Source organism: Homo sapiens, chromosome 1, assembly GCF_000001405.40.
Source record: "Homo sapiens chromosome 1, GRCh38.p14 Primary Assembly".
Classification (NCBI taxonomy): Eukaryota; Metazoa; Chordata; class Mammalia; order Primates; family Hominidae; genus Homo; species Homo sapiens.
In genome coordinates this window covers 205067101-205082145 of record NC_000001.11, presented here as the reverse complement: position 1 = coordinate 205082145, position 15045 = coordinate 205067101, and the positions used below count along the sequence as shown (strand labels likewise).

The window sequence follows — 15045 nt, the reverse complement described above, 5'->3', positions numbered from 1 at the left end:
AATATCTTTATCACACTAAGAAAATTAACAATTTCTGGCCAGGCGCGGTGGCTCACGCCTGTAATCCCAGCACTTTGGGAGGACGAGGCGGGCAGATCACGAAGTCAGGAGATCGAGACCATCCCGGCTAACACGGTGAAACCCCGTCTCTACTGAAAGTACCAAAAATCAGCCTGGTGTGGTAGCGGGCGCCTGTAGTCCCAGCTACTCGGGAGGCTGAGGCAGGAGAATAGTGTGAACCCAGGAGGCGGAGCTTGCAGTGAGCTGAGATTGCGCCACTGCACTCCAGCCTGGGCGACAGTGCAAGACTCTGTCTCAAAAACAACAACAAAAAATTAACAATTTCTTTCTTTTCTTTTTTTTTTTTGAGACGGAGTTTTGTTCTTGTAGCCCAGGCTGGAGTGCAATGGTGTGATCTCAGCTCACTGTAACCTCTGCCTCCTAGGTTCAAGTGATTTTCCTGCCTCAGCCTCCTGAGTAGCTGGGATTACAGGTGCCTGCCACCATGCCTGGCTAATTTTTTTGTATTTTTAGTAGAGACGGGGTTTCGCCATGTTGGCCAGCCTGGTCAAACTCCTGACCTCAGATGATCCACCTGCCTCGGCCTCCCAAAGTGCTGGGATTACAGGTGTGAACCACTGGACCTGGCCAAAATTTAACAATTTCTTAATCTTATATAGTTTATACAAGTTGAGCATCCCAAGTATGAAAACCTGAAATCTGTAATGCTCCAAAACTTGAAACTTTTTGAGTACCAACATGGTGCTCAAAGGAAATGCTTATTGGAAGAGCTTAGATTTCGGATTTCTTGGATTTGGGATGCTTAACCTATAAGTATAATGCAAAGATGCCAAAATCTGAAAAAGTCTGAAATCTGGAACATGTCTGGTCCCAAACATTTTGGATAAGGGATACTCAGCCTGTATTCACTTCTCAATATCCAAAATCTTAACAGCTTTTTAATTTCATTTTTGATCCAGGATCAAATAGAAGTTCATGTGTTATGTTTCTCTTAAGTATCTTCTTTTACAACAGACCTCCTGCATTCCTTTGTCTTTCATGACATTGATTTCGTTGAATAATTTACTCCAGTTGTCTTAGATAAGATTCCATAATTTGTATTTGCCATTTCCTCATGAGTAGATTCATGAGGAATGAATCTTAAACATTTTTGACAAGAGCCCTATGTAGATATGTACTTAACTGCACCACATTACAAGGCTCATGTTTTTGTTTATGTTTTTGTTTTTTGAGATGGAGTCTTACTGTATCATCCAGACTAGAGTGCAGTGGTGCAATCTCGGCTCACTGTAACCTCTGCCTCCCGGGTTCAAGTGATTCTGATGCCTCAGCCTCCTGAGTAGCTGGGACTATAGGCATGTGCCACCACGCCTATAGATGGGGTTTCACCATGTTGGCCAGGCTGGTCTCAAACTCTTGACCTCAGGTGATCCGCCCACCTCGGCCTGTCAAAATGTTGGGATTACAAGCGTGAGCCACCGCGCCCAGCCAAGGTTGACCCACTATTGATAATAAGCTTGATCATTTGGTTAAGGTGGTGGATGGCCAGATCTCACCACCAATGTGTGTGTGTGTGTGTGTGTGTGTGTGTGTGTGTGTATTTTCCCCTTTGTAATTCATAGTCTGTGGGGTAATACTTTATGATTATATGGCTCTCCAAAAACTCTTCACATATTTTGGCATCCATTGTTTTTGCCTTGTTGAACATTACATGTTGGGGACTGCAAACTGGCAATTCTTTATGTTCATCTTACCTATATTAGCCTGCATTTCTCTGTAAAGAAGAGCTTACTCTTTTTACCCTCTTTATTTTTGAGGTCTCAATAGATTCTTCTTATTCAGTGAGCTATATATAATCCATTATCATTTTATCTTTTTTTTAACTTTTTAGGTTTAGGGGTACATGTGCAGGATTGTTGCATAGGTAAATTGCATGTCATGGGGGTTTGGTGTACAAATGATCATTATCTTGATGTTCAAATTGTCCCCAATTTTGGCCAGTAGGAGTCCCCTCAGGCAAGCTCTTTTGCCCTTTTGCTGTGGTTTTATTTGACATTGAGCATTTTCTTGCTTCTAGTACAACACGGTATCTCAGATTCACATTTGGACTCTCCTTGCCCCAAACCTGAATCTGGTCTTTCCCCAAGGAACCCTGGTTCCTCTTAGTGTGGGGAGTAGCATTGAGAAACCAAGGTTTGCATGTTGGGTGTGCTCATTGCTACTGGGGAGTCATTGCTCCTAGGCTGTCTCAGTGTCCTAGATGTATATCATGAGTTCAGAGCATCTTTGTTGTTTAAGGTTGTTAGGTGGTTCTGATATATGGCTAAGGTTGAGAACCACTGACTGAGGCCCAGGCATAGGGAGTCATTTTACTGTTGCTCTTATTTTAAAAAAGATCTTACATTTTACACGTACCCTTACCCCCATTCTGTTTACTTCAGAGGGGATAGATTTCAGAAGACCTGGGTTCTGGGCCTTGTTCTGCTGTTGATGGTGTAATGGGGCAAGCTACCTGACATCATCTTTGAAATAGGTGATTGTGAGGATCCAGTGAGATCCTGTGAGGTAAACTGAAGTACGGGACATGAGTTCAGGAATATTATTGATGAAGCATTCAGTACGGGACAACTTGCTGAGACATTCAGGAGATAGCTTGCTGTACTTTAAGCAAGCAGTCTTGACACTAGAAGACCATAAAATATCCTACTTTAATGAACTCAACATGACATTGCTGAGGAGGGAGGAAGACTGATGGGTACTATGTCCCATTTTCCAGATGGAGAGACTGAGTAACTTTTGCAGTCTTCTGTTGCAGCCAGTAGTCAAGCATGGGATGGACTATTGCACAGTTCTGGCATTATAACCCTCTATGCATTGGGCTCTTGAGTTTTGACTCCAAGGATGTGAAGGGATTGAGCAGAGAAGAGAACAAAAGATGCTCAGTTGTGTTAGTAAAGCAAAACCTGTTGAAGTCTGTGCAGGTAATCTACCTTTGCAGGGTCAAGGGGATGCTGACTGGACTAATATTTGGGTTTTAGAGTGGCTGGTGTTCCCACATCCCCTTTGGGGGCAAAGTGGAAGAGATGACCGTTTTGTGATATCATACTGGTGTCCGTACAGGCCCCTTCCGGAGGCTTGTTGTCAGCCTGGGCTTCCAGGCACACAGCTAATGAGTATTCAGGCCTCCATTCACCATCTCCCTCTTCGCTGAAAAAAGCTGGGGGCGTAGTCAGCATGGAGCCCTACCTGCTTTGCACTAAAAGACTCAAAACACAGAGTCGTGCAAGTGTATCTCCACACACATTTTCATCTGTAATAAAAGTTTGATAGGCCGGGCACGTGGCTCATGCCCATAATCCCAGCACTTTGGGAGGCCGAAGTGGGTGGATCACCTGAGGTCAGGAGTTGGAGACCAGCTTGGCCAACATGGTGAAACCCTGTCTCTACTAGAAAATACAAAAATTAGCCAGTTGTGGTGGCAGGTGCCTATAATCCCAGCTACTCAGGAGGCTGAAGCAGGAGAATCGCTTGAACCCAGGAGGTAGAGGTTGCAGCGAGCTGAGATTATGCCATTGCACTCCAGCCTGGGCGACAAGAGCGAAACTCTGTCTCAAAAAAAAAAAAGTTTGATAAATGGTTATCGAATGTGTGAGAAAGTGTGGCTGGAAAGTGACTAGTAATTCACACCCTTGTGGCTGCTGTGAACCAAGAGTAGAGGCAGCAGCCTCGTTCTCACCAGTTGGGTATCATTAATATATCTGCAGGGAGACTTTCCTTTGGGACCACTGAGTCAACACCTCAAAGATGTCTTAAAAATCAGGCCACCTTGAAGCAGTACCATCACATAAGCATTGTTTACTGCCACTGTATTAGGTAAAGCCAACTGATTCTAGCCAAATGCCTGCCTGTGCTCTGCTTGGACCTGCCTTAAGATCTTGGCCTAATTTTTCCCTCCTCCTGGGACTGGATGAAGCAATATAGACTGTATGTTGTAACTTACTTATATTTCACTGTGTGGGGGGTAAAGAAATTCTTGGATAAAAGCCTCTGGAGTGAAGAACAGGACAAGGAGGTATGCTTTAGCCTGATGATAACACCCACAGCTCGTGCCAGCTTCCCCAACAGGTTGAGAAACCATCTTTATTTAAGAACTGCCTGCTACCAGAGTCAATAAATAACTATCATTACAAGAAGTACAGGAGAGAAACAGTAGGCCAACGGGAGTGGTTCCATTTTAACAAACACTGAGTCAAGTCAGTGGTCTGATGAAGCCCTAGCATTTGCCAAGCTGTGAGCCTCTCTAAGCTGTGCAGGCCCTGGATGGGACGGGTAAGTTGGAGGAGTCTTGGGGCCGAGGCAAGATGTATCCCATCTAAGGGCACTAAGTGTCATAGGCCCCAAAGGCTGCCTGGGGCTGTGGCCAAAGCTATCTGACCCATTTTGTTTCTCTCATTTTCCTTTACGTCCTGTCTTCCCAAAGCCTATGACCATATACACAAGTCCACGGGTGTTCCGCAGCTACCAGGTGCCTGTTTCCATGGAGCTTTTTGGGGGCACACAGAAAAATGCCCACCTAATGCCTTTTATGCTAAGAGCCTCTCTGGCAATCCCCATCACATCCAGGAGGAAGCCTAGGGTGGGTGTCACCCAGGGAGACAGAGCACCACTGTCATGCCAGTGGCCACAGGTTTGAGGATACTGTGTCTCCCACCAATGAGCCAGTTGGCAGTCCCATTCTGAGACCAGGCAGAGAAAAGATTCCTCTGTAGCTGGGGAAGAGATTAAGGGAGTCAAACATTCCTAGCCATTTTGGGCTCTTGCCCAGAGTACAGGCTGGCTGGCCCTTGGGGCTGCCCTAAAGAGGCAGCATACGCTGGGATGAGCACTGGGCTGTAACCAGAATTCCTAGATGAGCCCCCTTAATGGCTTCCCATAAGGTGCAGGGCCACAGAAGGTGGGATCTCCAAGACTTCCTGGGCTGAACACTTTGATTCTAAGAGTCTCATCTCTGGATGGACACTTGGACCATCTCCTGCCCCTCCAGTCACAGCTTCACCTTTCCCAAATCCCATGTCAACAGCTGTCAAAATTCCTCAAAGCTCCCTCAGAAAGAAGCCTCTTCCTTATTCCAGGGCCTCCTGGAATGAGGAAGGTCATTCCAGAGGTTTTTTTCTGATGTTTAACCTCAGTCTCGTCTGTTGTTACTTTATGAAAAGAAAAAGACACCCCCACCTACCCCCATGGCCTTGCCACTCCCTGGCACCATTTGTATCATTTGTTGCCCTGAATGAAAGCAGATAACCTGACCTTGCTGGGCCCTGAGACTCTGTCTGGAGAGAGCTGCCTTCCCCCTGAGGCTGGGTGTACATCTGGACTGTTAGAGCAACAAGGACCAGAGAGCCAGGGCAAAGGGCTCTGTAAGGGGAGCCCAAATGTATGCAGAAGAGAGGACACTTGTCTCCCTAGGCCCTGGAGAGGTGCCTACAGTTGGTTCCTTTTCCTAGTCCCCAGGGTGTTTACTGGCCACTAAGCTGTGGGGTAAAGTACTTGTTTGTGGCTGTTCCTCTTGCCGCCTCCTCTGGGGCTTGATGTATGAGAGGAGATAACCCAGAACTGTGGTCTCATGATCGCAGTGAAAATAAGCACACTCTCAACTCCCCCAGCCCATCTGGGCAGAGAACACGAAAATCAGAGAACCCCTGCGCAGGAGGGGATCCTGAGAAACATCTAATCTAGTCTTCTGCAAGCAAGCTCATGTACAAGTCACTCTAGCAGGAGGCTGTTGCATTTTACAAGCTTGCATGTCCTCAGGTCACCTATTGTCTTATTAAACCTTAGTCAGTACTCTACCTGAAATCTCAGGCTGCAGGAACATTTATTTTGTTGTCGTTCTATCCCTCAAACAAATTCTGCCTGCCCAGTGGTTAGGTTTTCCTGGGGCTCAGTTTTCCCTGGCTAAAAACCCTTCGTGGGTCTCCCAGGAGGTCTGCCTTCCTCCCCTTTTTAGTGGACCTCATTAGCATTAAGGTACTTACTTGTGAGTAACTATCGTTGGCCTGAAGCAAGTTTAGTGGCTGTAGCCTCTAGCTTCACTGGTTAGGTCCTATGCCAAACCAGCTCCTCCCTCGGCCCAGCAACTGGACACCTGTCCCCTGCTTCCCCTGACGCAGCCCGAGGCAATGAGGAACGAATTGGATAAAACTTGGAAGGAGGTTTTGTTCAGCATCCCCTTTCTGATAGAGAACCAGGCACAGGCCAAGTCGTGGCCAGAGGGGGGCCAGGAGGGATGCTAGGCCAAGTTTGGACTCCCTGTCAGGGAGAATGGTCGTATAGCTGAGCCCCTAGCACCCTTGCTTGTAAGGGTTGGGAAGAGGTGAGGAGGCTTTCATTAGCCAGCTCCAGGAAAGCTGACCTGGGCTAGGGGTGGGTGGGTAGGGTGCAGTGGGGGTTTGGCTGTGGCAGGGAAAAGGCATGTGAGCTTATATTTTTAAAAAATTGTAGTGGGTAAACATCAACATAAACCTGCCCAGGAAAATAGAGCAGGACTTAAAAGTTTAAAAAACCATAACAAAATAGAGCTCTAACTATAAACTACAGAAAACAGGCTCGGAGCTTCCGAGGACATATGCCCTTCAAGATGCCTGTCCCGCTGCCCCCTGTGAAGGGCCACCTGTCGGAGCATGGGCTTTGGGGTTTCCTAGTTGTGCTGCTGCTCTTGCCTAGGGAATCTGCTCTTGCTTTGGCCTCTTTTCTTGGGGCAAGAGTGAGGGGGACAGGGAGCTTCAAGTCAGCCCTCCATGTTGAAGTTTGGTAGAAGCTCTGCCCACACCTTGGACGGGAACCCAGCCATGCCAATCCCCATGATCACCAATCCGAACCCCTTGAAGTAGAATTTTCACACCCTACTGACTAATCACCTTCTTAGCCAGGCCATAGCCATTCAGCAGTGCCTCCTTCCTCTGGGTAGACAAACAGCCTTGAACAGAAAGGTGGAAGACTCGAGTTCTTAACCCAGCCCCATCTCTTCTGGGCTGTGTGACCTTGGGAATCCCAGACCCTCTCTGGACCACCTCCATTTCCTCATCTGTAAAGTGAGGGGCTTGAAGAAGTTGAGCTCTAAGGCTTCTTCCAGCTCTGACGTTCTGTGACTGGTAGTATACCCAGAGCTCAGGAAAGGATGGCCCATTTATTAACCCCTTTTTCTCCGGGGAAATGCAAGCAGTCCAAGGCCGTCTGGGAGCGGATCTGGCCAGGTGGTCCTAGGTATACCTGGGAGCAGGCAGGGCCACATTTATCCTCTGCCCTTCCCAGAAACCTCCCAATACCAGGACACACAGCATGAATGCTGCATTCCCCTCCCAGGCAGGAGTGAGTCAGTGCTGGGAGAGCAGAGTCTGGGGCTGCAGGTCGGGGAGGCCGAGCTGACTGCAGGCAGCACTGGAGAGGTGGGCGCATGATTGGCCATCTCCTGCCCAAACCCTGGAGGGACTGTGCAGAATGGGTCTTGGAGGGGTGGGAGACCCCACCAAGACAAGCCCTTTAGTCACCCAGCCACCTGAAGTGGCGCTGTCAATCGGGATGACAGGGTCAGGTTGGCAGTGTTGGCTGAGAGGGCATCGTCACCTGGGTTGTGACTATCTCAGACCAAGGCTGGTGCCCCTTTCCACCAAGGGCCCTGGCCTCTCAACTCTTTTTGGCTCCCACCCCAAACAGCCTGGAGTATCACCCCCCTCAAAGCTGAAGGGGCTCAGGCTCCCAGCCTCAGGCATCGGGGCGCTGGTTCTCAGCCGCTTGGGCAGGCAGGAGCCCCTAGGGAGTTATCGGGGACAGCGTCAGGGTCCTTGCTGCTGCTCGAGGGAGAAGGCGGGAGAGCTCTTGGTCCCAGGGCTTGCCCTTCTTCCTTAGACTGAAGGATGGTGAGGTGTGCACTTCGCTCCAGTTCTTCAACCTGTTCATGTCTGGTGTTCCTGCCGGGCCTAGGACTGCTCTCAAGTGGCGGAGTCCGTATAGGGTCCCAGAGGGCCATCTCTGCTGAGTTGAAGACATGTTTTTAAAACCCCCTTCTTCCCATGGGCCTGTTCCTTCCCTCCAGGCAGCCTAGAGCTCAGGTATAGGCGTCAGTGTCATCATGGAAGTTACTGCCTGGTGCCTCTCAATTTAAAGAAAATCCTTGCGTGGGTTCTATCCTGCGGCAGAATATAAAATATCCTACCTCCTACAAAAAGGGCACTGTTTAAAGTAGGTATTTAAAACCAGCCACTCTCTGGCACAGTGTCAGGCCACCTTGGCAGCAGGAAGGGGCTGGCTGTGTCCGTCGGAGGTGGCGTCCAGCTGCGGCGCAGAGGGAGGGGTTCCAGGATCAGAGCTCCAGGGAGCCTATGAGGATCAGCATCGCCACGGAGTGGGAAATGACGGTGCCAGGGTGTGGTGCTGGGCGGACTGCCATGTTCTCCACCATCATGCTTGTGCCTGAAACCAGCACAAGCTGAGTCAGCTGGGCCTGGGACTACCCTAGCCCCACCCTTGTGGCAAGATTGAGACCTTTCCTAAGGAGACTCACAGGGCCAGCTGCAGGCCTGGGAGCGGACGGCTGGGTGGTCTTCTCAGTCCGACTCCTACGGTGCTTTGTAGGCCGTTTGCTATTGCTGGTTGGTCCTCAGCCTCCCCCTGCACCCTGCGCCCTTCCCTGGCCCTCGGGGATGTTCTGGGGGCTGGGTAGAAAGGTGGCGGCGAGGCAGTTCTAAGACTACTTTGCACTTGGTTCCTGCCTGCCTTCCACTTTCCTTTGCGGGTAGAGATTGGAGTTGGCCTGGGTGGGAATGATCCTCTCAGGTATCTGGGTGGATCCTGAATCTCTCGAGGGGATAAGGGTAGGGGAGGAGCAGCACCTCCATTCCTCACGATGTGGACTTCTGCAGGGATCCCATCCCCTCCGGGCCCTGTGGTCCGAATTTGTACCAGGGCATGGCCAATGTCTTCAGGCACTGGGATTTCTATCCAGTTCTTGCCGGTGAGGTGGAGCGTGGGAGTCAGGTGTAAGTCATTCTGGTACAGCATCTGTGGGAAGGAGGTTTCCAGGTGGAGTTTCCTGACACCAGGGCTGATCGTTGAGTCATCCCCAGCTTTAGGTACTGGGAGGAGACCCGATGGTTCTGGGCTCTTGAGGTCCAGCCTCCTCACCCCTCCTCCCCATTGACAAAGCTCCTCATTGGTGGAGGAAAGCTTGCAGGCCACTGAACTGTTTCCGTAGACTCCTTAAGCTAGAAGAACCCCCATACTCCATCCCCATAGTCCATCACTGCCCCTGTGAACTCTGCCTTTCTGCAGTGATACCATCTGCCCGTTTTTATAGTTTCTACTGCAAGTTACTGAGAGAATAGTTCATGAATTTCATTCCTCTCACAGTCACAAACCCTTTGCTTATGTCTCACTCAGATGCCTCTTGCTATAAATTGCTGCTGCTTATGTTCACTGGAAACACAGAGGAGCTGTTCCTTCCCATTCTGGGCCTAGCTGATTGCTTCCTCACCTTATAGCCGGTGACTGCAGACTCATTTCGGAAAGGGACCACAGGGTCCCACTTAATGCTAAGACTAGAGCTTGAGAAAGTCCAGGAGATGTTGCCAGGAGGTCGCCGCGGAGCTGCCAGAGAGGAAGAATTGGAGAGATGTCCAAACGTTTCCCTGGCACCCCGCACCCCCTCACCTTTAACCAGCCCTTCTCTGGATGTTTGCCTCTAGCAGTTACACCCAGCACATTCTGTCATGCCCACGAAACAAAGCCCATGAAAATCCAAAGGTTGGAGAAGTGTGAGACGCTTCAGGGGCCATGAATTCCATTCCCTTATTTCCATTAGGCTCGCTGCCTAATTTCTGTTCAGCCCAGAGCTGGTGGGCTAGAGCATTTGTCTTATCATTGGGGAAGGAATGATCTCAGAGGCACCCACCCTCCAAAATATTGCCCTACCCCCACCCCAGGCAGACAGACTCACGGGGCTTCATGGTCGTGGCGTTGGCAGAAGGGCTGGCAGGCCCAGTGCCAGCCCGGTTGTAGGCCCTCACGGTCACATGGTACTTGGTGTTGGGATGCAGGCCGCTGACTCGGGCACTGGTGTCCAGCCCTGCTGTCCTCACTCGGTCCGCAGCTGCTTCTTTGTCCCCAGCTTTCCAGTAGCGGATCTGAAGGAGGCGGGGGTACCCAAGGGGTAGTAGTCAAGCCCAGGATCTCAGGGCTGCCCCGGCCCCCACATTCTGTTCCTCTCTTGCTCATCCTGGTCCCTGTGACCCAGTCTTAGGCCTCAGAACCTGGAGACTAGATCATGAGCACCCAGACAGCAGGGCCATGTGGGTGTGAGTCCCTGCTGTCTGTTGGTGCGTAGTTCAAGGAAGGTGCTCAAGACATGGGTCAGGGAGGGAGCTGGTGGCACAGGCTCAACCTAGCAATGGCCTGCTGGAACCCATTTCATTTCATTAACTTGGGGGGCTACCGTGGGCATTCTGCTAAGGGACAGAAAATGCTTATTTGTATTGCAAAGTAGTCCCCTGGCCCTAAGCAAGCTTCTGAAGGTTGCCTAATAAATGCAAACCCATTTTCATGGTAATCATAGCATGAAGACCTGCTAAATATGCTTTCAAAGGCAGAGGCAAGGGCAGAGTTTGGAATTATCTCCACACTGTGGCTTGCCTAAGCTATTGTACTCAAATCTAGAGTACTCTACTAGAATGAACTTGTGCTATCACTAGTAGGCCCAGCTTGATGGTTTCTTCTTGCTTTTCCTTCTTTCTCTCCCTCTTGCTTCCCATCACTTGCCATCTGCTCCACAGGTACCCCTTTGTGGAGTTCTCAGTGGGCCCAGGACTCAGGCCAGACTGCTGGGCCCCAGATTCCCCCGGGACAGGATGATCAACTGTCCATAGAGCGGCTCAGGCTGTTTTCTGTGCAGCCCTGGACAGGCCAGCCTGAATGGGCTCTGGGATGAAAGGGGCAGGCCATGCCCCTTCCCAGAACCTGTTCCTTCTACCCTCTCAGCTTCCAATGCTGGCTCTAGCCAAGCATTTACTTTAAGGCTGCCTCCAGGGTCTGTCTTCCCCAATGGGCATAAGCCATGGGGTCTTTTTTTTTTTTTTTTTGAGATGGAGTCTCGCTTTGTCACCCAGGCTGGAGTGCAGTGGCGCAATCTCAGCTCACTGCAACCTCTGCCTCCTGAACGCAAGCGATTCTCCTGCCTCAGCCTCCTGAGTAGCTGGGATTACAGGCATGGGCCACCATGCCCAGCTAATTTTTGTATTTTTAGTAGAGGCGGGGCTTCACCATGTTGGCCAGGCTGGTCTCAAACTCCTGATCTCAGGAGATCTACCGCCTCAGCCTCCCAAAGTGATGGGATTACAGGCATGAGCCACCGCGCCTGGCCTGCCATGGGGTCTTAGTGAAATTTGCATTCACAGTGCTACACAGACTGGATGCTCAGTTTGCCATGTCAGCGAACCAGGGACGCCAGGAGGAATGATTAGTGGTCTGTGAGTTGTTCCCACCTGGCTTTGAAGCCCCAGCACCCCTTCCTCTCCCAAGTCCCAGGTTGGTGCTCACCTCATACCCCAGGAGGATACCATTCATGTCCTGCTGCACGGGTTCCCAGGTCACGTTCATCTCTGAGGATGAGACCCCTTTGGCCCACACCTTGGTAGGGGCCACCCTGGGCTCTGGGGACCAATACAGAATGGGTTTGGATTCCCAGGGCCCCCCTGTGTCCTGCAGAGCAGCCCCCAACCAGGATTGCCTTTGCTTAAGATTTTGGAGGAAAGCCTTCAGGATGAAGGCCGAGTGGGAGCCCCCCAAGCAATGCTCCAGGGCCCACTTCTATTCCCAGAGAGCCTCCCTTTTCCTAACCCCGAAGGGAGACAAGGTAGCAAGAGCTGGAAGTGAGGCCAATGATGTGGAACCCAGGTGTCCTCTCAACCTCCTCCTATGGAACTGAGCTGGGAGATGAGTAGCGTTCCCCCACCCCACATCCCTGTGGACAAGTGGCTGGGGTAGGGACGAGCAGGGGGCCCAGGGGCAGCCCACCTTCCTCAGCTGAGTACACGAGTGCAGTGAGGCTCTCGGGCCCATCCCCGCGGCGGTTGTAGCTGCGGATCTTGACCTCAAAGGGCGTGTAGGGCCGGACGCTCTCGTTGCTGTAGACAAAGTACTGGGCATCGGCGCCAGGCACCCGGGCGGTCTGCCAGTGAGTGCTGCCCTGCCTGCGGAAGGACAGCAGGTAGCCGAAGCCGTCTCCGTTCTGGTACTCCCGTGACATGGGCTGAGGGGCAAGAGCATGGCATGGGCGAGGGTCCGCGGCATGTGTCCCTGCCCGTTCCCTGGCCCCACCCAACCTTTGCCAAGAGTAGCGGCCCTGGACGCCTACGCCTGCAGCGTGGATTCGCGTAAGGGGCAGCGGGTGCGTGGAAGGGGGACAGGAAGTTATCCGCGTTTGAGTCAGAGCTGTGCAGTGGTCCTTTCTGCAGCTGCTCAAGCGGGAGAGGGGTCAGGGAGGAGGAGGAGGACATCTGACCCTTGCAGCTTACCGTCCAGTTGACGATGAGCTCTCCGGGGGCTCCACCTCCTCCGCTGAGTCCTGAGGGTGCCACCGAGGGGGCTGTCAAGGGCCAAGGGACACCGATATGGCTTGTTAATGAGCAAGGAAAAAATGAAAGCCCTGAGCCTGTGCCTGTAGAGCACCGTAAGATGGGAACCCCTTCAACTGGGCCCTGGGTTTGCCCCCCAGTGGTCCCTCTGAACATAGGCTTTGGAGTCAGGCAGTCCTGAAATCAAATCCCACCTCTGCCATTTACTAGCTGTGCTTCCCTGGGCAAGTCACTTAACCTTTCTGAGCCTCTGATTCTCTTCTCCATGAAGATAATCATGTTTCTCTCAGAGGCCATAATGAGAATGAAATTAGACAAGACGGTGGTTAGTATAGAGCAGATGATGCACACATGATCATTGTCCTCCTTACTCCATCAACTTAAACTAAATCACAGAGACCAACTCTCACTCGCTTTAAAATAAGGGGAATAAATAACCCAGAACTGCAGTTAATGCAAACAAACAAACAAACAAACAAACAAACAAACAAACAAAACAAACTACTTTTGGGCTCCAGGGTGATATATTATCTATTTTTCTTTTTGTTGCAGATTTAATCTCCTAATTGTCTCTAGTATTAAACAAGGCTGATATTAAAACAGGAATTTATTTCATCAGCTCCTGCAGCTTGGCAGAAAGTAACTTGGCTGGGGGTCAAAATATTTCCGTAGAGAATCCAGCAGCTGGAGATTTTTCACTTGCTTCTGATGACAATAGTTTAGGACCGTGTAATTTGCAAGAGGTACTTAAACACATTGGCCATTTGATCCTGTGAGGTGGGTGTTATTATTGCCCTTTTCAGGGTGGAAAGACTGAGGCCCAGAGCAGTTAATCAACTTGCCTAAGGTCACACAGTTAATACATGGCACAGGTAGAATCTGAACTCAGCCCTTCTCATTTTAAAGCCCATCATGTTTCCTTTGCATCACAGCTGTCTTTGTGCTCCTCAGCTACTGGGATGCTGTAAATAGAATAAAGGAGTCCCCTCATTTCTCCACATTTGACCCTCCAAGAAGTTCAGGATCAATCAAAGAAAGTGCTGCCTCTGGAATTTCTTACTCAGGAGAGGTACCAGCTAAAAATGTTGAGTGATTCTAGAAAAAGGGCCTGGAGAGTCAGTCTGGGGCATGTAGGAGAACATGTTTCAGGCAGACAAGAAGGTGGACCCTCACTACACATCCAGTGCAACAGGTCTGTAGAGGAGGTGAGGCAGGGTCCTTAATCTATGCTCCTGGTCCCAGGATCCCCGGGCTCTCATTCCAGGCCTTCCCCTGCGAATGGCTCGGAGATGGGCAGGAGCCTCTCAGCAGATGCTGACTGGAGCCTGTGCCTCCCCTACTCTCTCCTGGGTTCTTTTCTCCCCCTCCTTCTCCACTCAAGTTCTGACACCCACACGCTTTTTGCTGAGGGTTGTGGGCAGGTTATTCAATTCCATCTGCTCCCAAAGAAACCATCTAAAGGCTTGGAGACACTGGCTGCTTCCCTAGCCCCCTGCACAGAACACACACACATCTTTCACATCAACTGATTTCCTTTTTTTCTTTCTTTTTTTTTTTTTTTTTTTTTTTTTTTTGAGATGGAGTCTCGCTCTGTCGCCCAGGATGGAGTGCAGTGGTACAATCTTGGCTCACTGCAACCTCCACCTCCCGGGTTCAAGCGATTCTCCTGCTTCAGCCTCCCGAGTAGCTGGGATTTACAGGTGTGTGTCACCACGCCTGGCTAATTTTTGTATTTTTAGTAGAGACGGGGTTTCACCATGTTGGCCAGGCTGGTCTCAAACTTCTGACCTCAGGTGATCTGCCTGCCTCGGCCTCCCAAAGTGCTGGGATTACAGGCTTGAGCCACTGCGCCCAGCCAGCATTAACTGATTTCTGTAGTGCATACTCTTCCAGGAAGACATCTGTCTACCACCCCATGGTCCTGGGTTCAAGTCCAAGCTCTGTCAATGTGACTCTTCCTTTCTCCGAACTTTGGTTTTTCCACTTTTAAAAATTAAACTTAAAAAAATTATAGATGCACATGCAGTTGTAAGGTTGGCCAGTTTTTAAATGAGGAGTTTGGACTAGATGGTTTGTCCATGCAGTGGCCCTGGTCCCAACTTGGTGTTCTGTCCTCCTCTGTTTTGTGAGAGTCTGAACCCTGTGAGCAGGGTTGGAACTCAGCATAATTGCGGCTGGCTTGGCATTCCCTATAAGTGGTGCCAGGGTCTCTGCCCTGATGATAGCTTTTTGGGACACACAGGACTCTCACCTGCTTCCCTGGTCCGGATTTTGCTGGAGGGCCCACTAGGCTCCCCAGTGCCCAGAATGTTGCTGGCTATGACCCGGAACTCATAGTCCATCCAGGGGGTGAGGCCCAGCACCTGTGCAGTCTCGGCATTGCCCTCGATGTTTGCAGGAT

The 15045-nt window shown here is 50.6% G+C and overlaps 1 protein-coding gene across 6 annotated transcripts in view, besides 8 other annotated features; it reads right to left on the bottom strand.

Annotated features, from left to right (window-relative positions):
- The window catches only part of CNTN2 (contactin 2), a 35341-nt gene continuing 24152 nt past the window's right edge, over window positions 3857–15045 (bottom strand). For 3 of the 6 annotated variants that reach the window (XM_047429104.1, XM_017002199.3, XM_047429102.1), the window contains 8 exons: window positions 14896–15045; window positions 12585–12655; window positions 12085–12319; window positions 11608–11720; window positions 10013–10199; window positions 9551–9663; window positions 8582–9078; window positions 3857–8490 (listed from right to left, as the gene is read on the bottom strand). In XM_047429104.1, the coding sequence (XP_047285060.1) occupies window positions 8268–8490; window positions 8582–9078; window positions 9551–9663; window positions 10013–10199; window positions 11608–11720; window positions 12085–12319; window positions 12585–12655; window positions 14896–15045 (1589 nt within the window). In that variant the 3' untranslated portion in view covers window positions 3857–8267. The remainder of the gene's footprint in view (window positions 8491–8581; window positions 9079–9550; window positions 9664–10012; window positions 10200–11607; window positions 11721–12084; window positions 12320–12584; window positions 12656–14895) is intronic. The other 3 variants (NM_001346083.2, NM_005076.5, NR_144350.2) reach the window with 2 other exon arrangements.
- Window positions 6336–6480: an enhancer, noted in NCBI's record as "145 bp 1:205044866 sequence used in MPRA reporter constructs". NCBI's record gives its function as "activates a minimal TATA-containing promoter with rs7518906 allelic activity by MPRAs in C283T melanocytes {active_cell/tissue: C283T}" and the evidence as "EXISTENCE:reporter gene assay evidence [ECO:0000049][PMID:36423637]".
- Window position 6408: a transcriptional cis regulatory region, noted in NCBI's record as "rs7518906 or 1:205044866 MPRA-significant variant associated with a GWAS melanoma risk locus at 1q32.1". NCBI's record gives its function as "allelic transcriptional activity by MPRAs in C283T melanocytes {active_cell/tissue: C283T}" and the evidence as "EXISTENCE:reporter gene assay evidence [ECO:0000049][PMID:36423637]".
- Window positions 6786–6930: an enhancer, noted in NCBI's record as "145 bp 1:205044416 sequence used in MPRA reporter constructs". NCBI's record gives its function as "activates a minimal TATA-containing promoter with rs10900444 allelic activity by MPRAs in C283T melanocytes {active_cell/tissue: C283T}" and the evidence as "EXISTENCE:reporter gene assay evidence [ECO:0000049][PMID:36423637]".
- Window positions 6786–6992: a biological region, named in NCBI's record as "melanoma risk locus-associated MPRA allelic enhancers 1:205044354 and 1:205044416".
- Window positions 6848–6992: an enhancer, noted in NCBI's record as "145 bp 1:205044354 sequence used in MPRA reporter constructs". NCBI's record gives its function as "activates a minimal TATA-containing promoter with rs10900443 allelic activity by MPRAs in C283T melanocytes {active_cell/tissue: C283T}" and the evidence as "EXISTENCE:reporter gene assay evidence [ECO:0000049][PMID:36423637]".
- Window position 6858: a transcriptional cis regulatory region, noted in NCBI's record as "rs10900444 or 1:205044416 MPRA-significant variant associated with a GWAS melanoma risk locus at 1q32.1". NCBI's record gives its function as "allelic transcriptional activity by MPRAs in C283T melanocytes {active_cell/tissue: C283T}" and the evidence as "EXISTENCE:reporter gene assay evidence [ECO:0000049][PMID:36423637]".
- Window position 6920: a transcriptional cis regulatory region, noted in NCBI's record as "rs10900443 or 1:205044354 MPRA-significant variant associated with a GWAS melanoma risk locus at 1q32.1". NCBI's record gives its function as "allelic transcriptional activity by MPRAs in C283T melanocytes {active_cell/tissue: C283T}" and the evidence as "EXISTENCE:reporter gene assay evidence [ECO:0000049][PMID:36423637]".
- Window positions 8529–9728: an enhancer, noted in NCBI's record as "MED14-independent group 3 enhancer chr1:205041546-205042745 (GRCh37/hg19 assembly coordinates)". NCBI's record gives its function as "activates an origin of replication core promoter dependent on BRD2, BRD4, P300/CBP and CDK7 cofactors, and independent of MED14, by STARR-seq in HCT116 cells {active_cell/tissue: HCT116}" and the evidence as "EXISTENCE:reporter gene assay evidence [ECO:0000049][PMID:35650434]".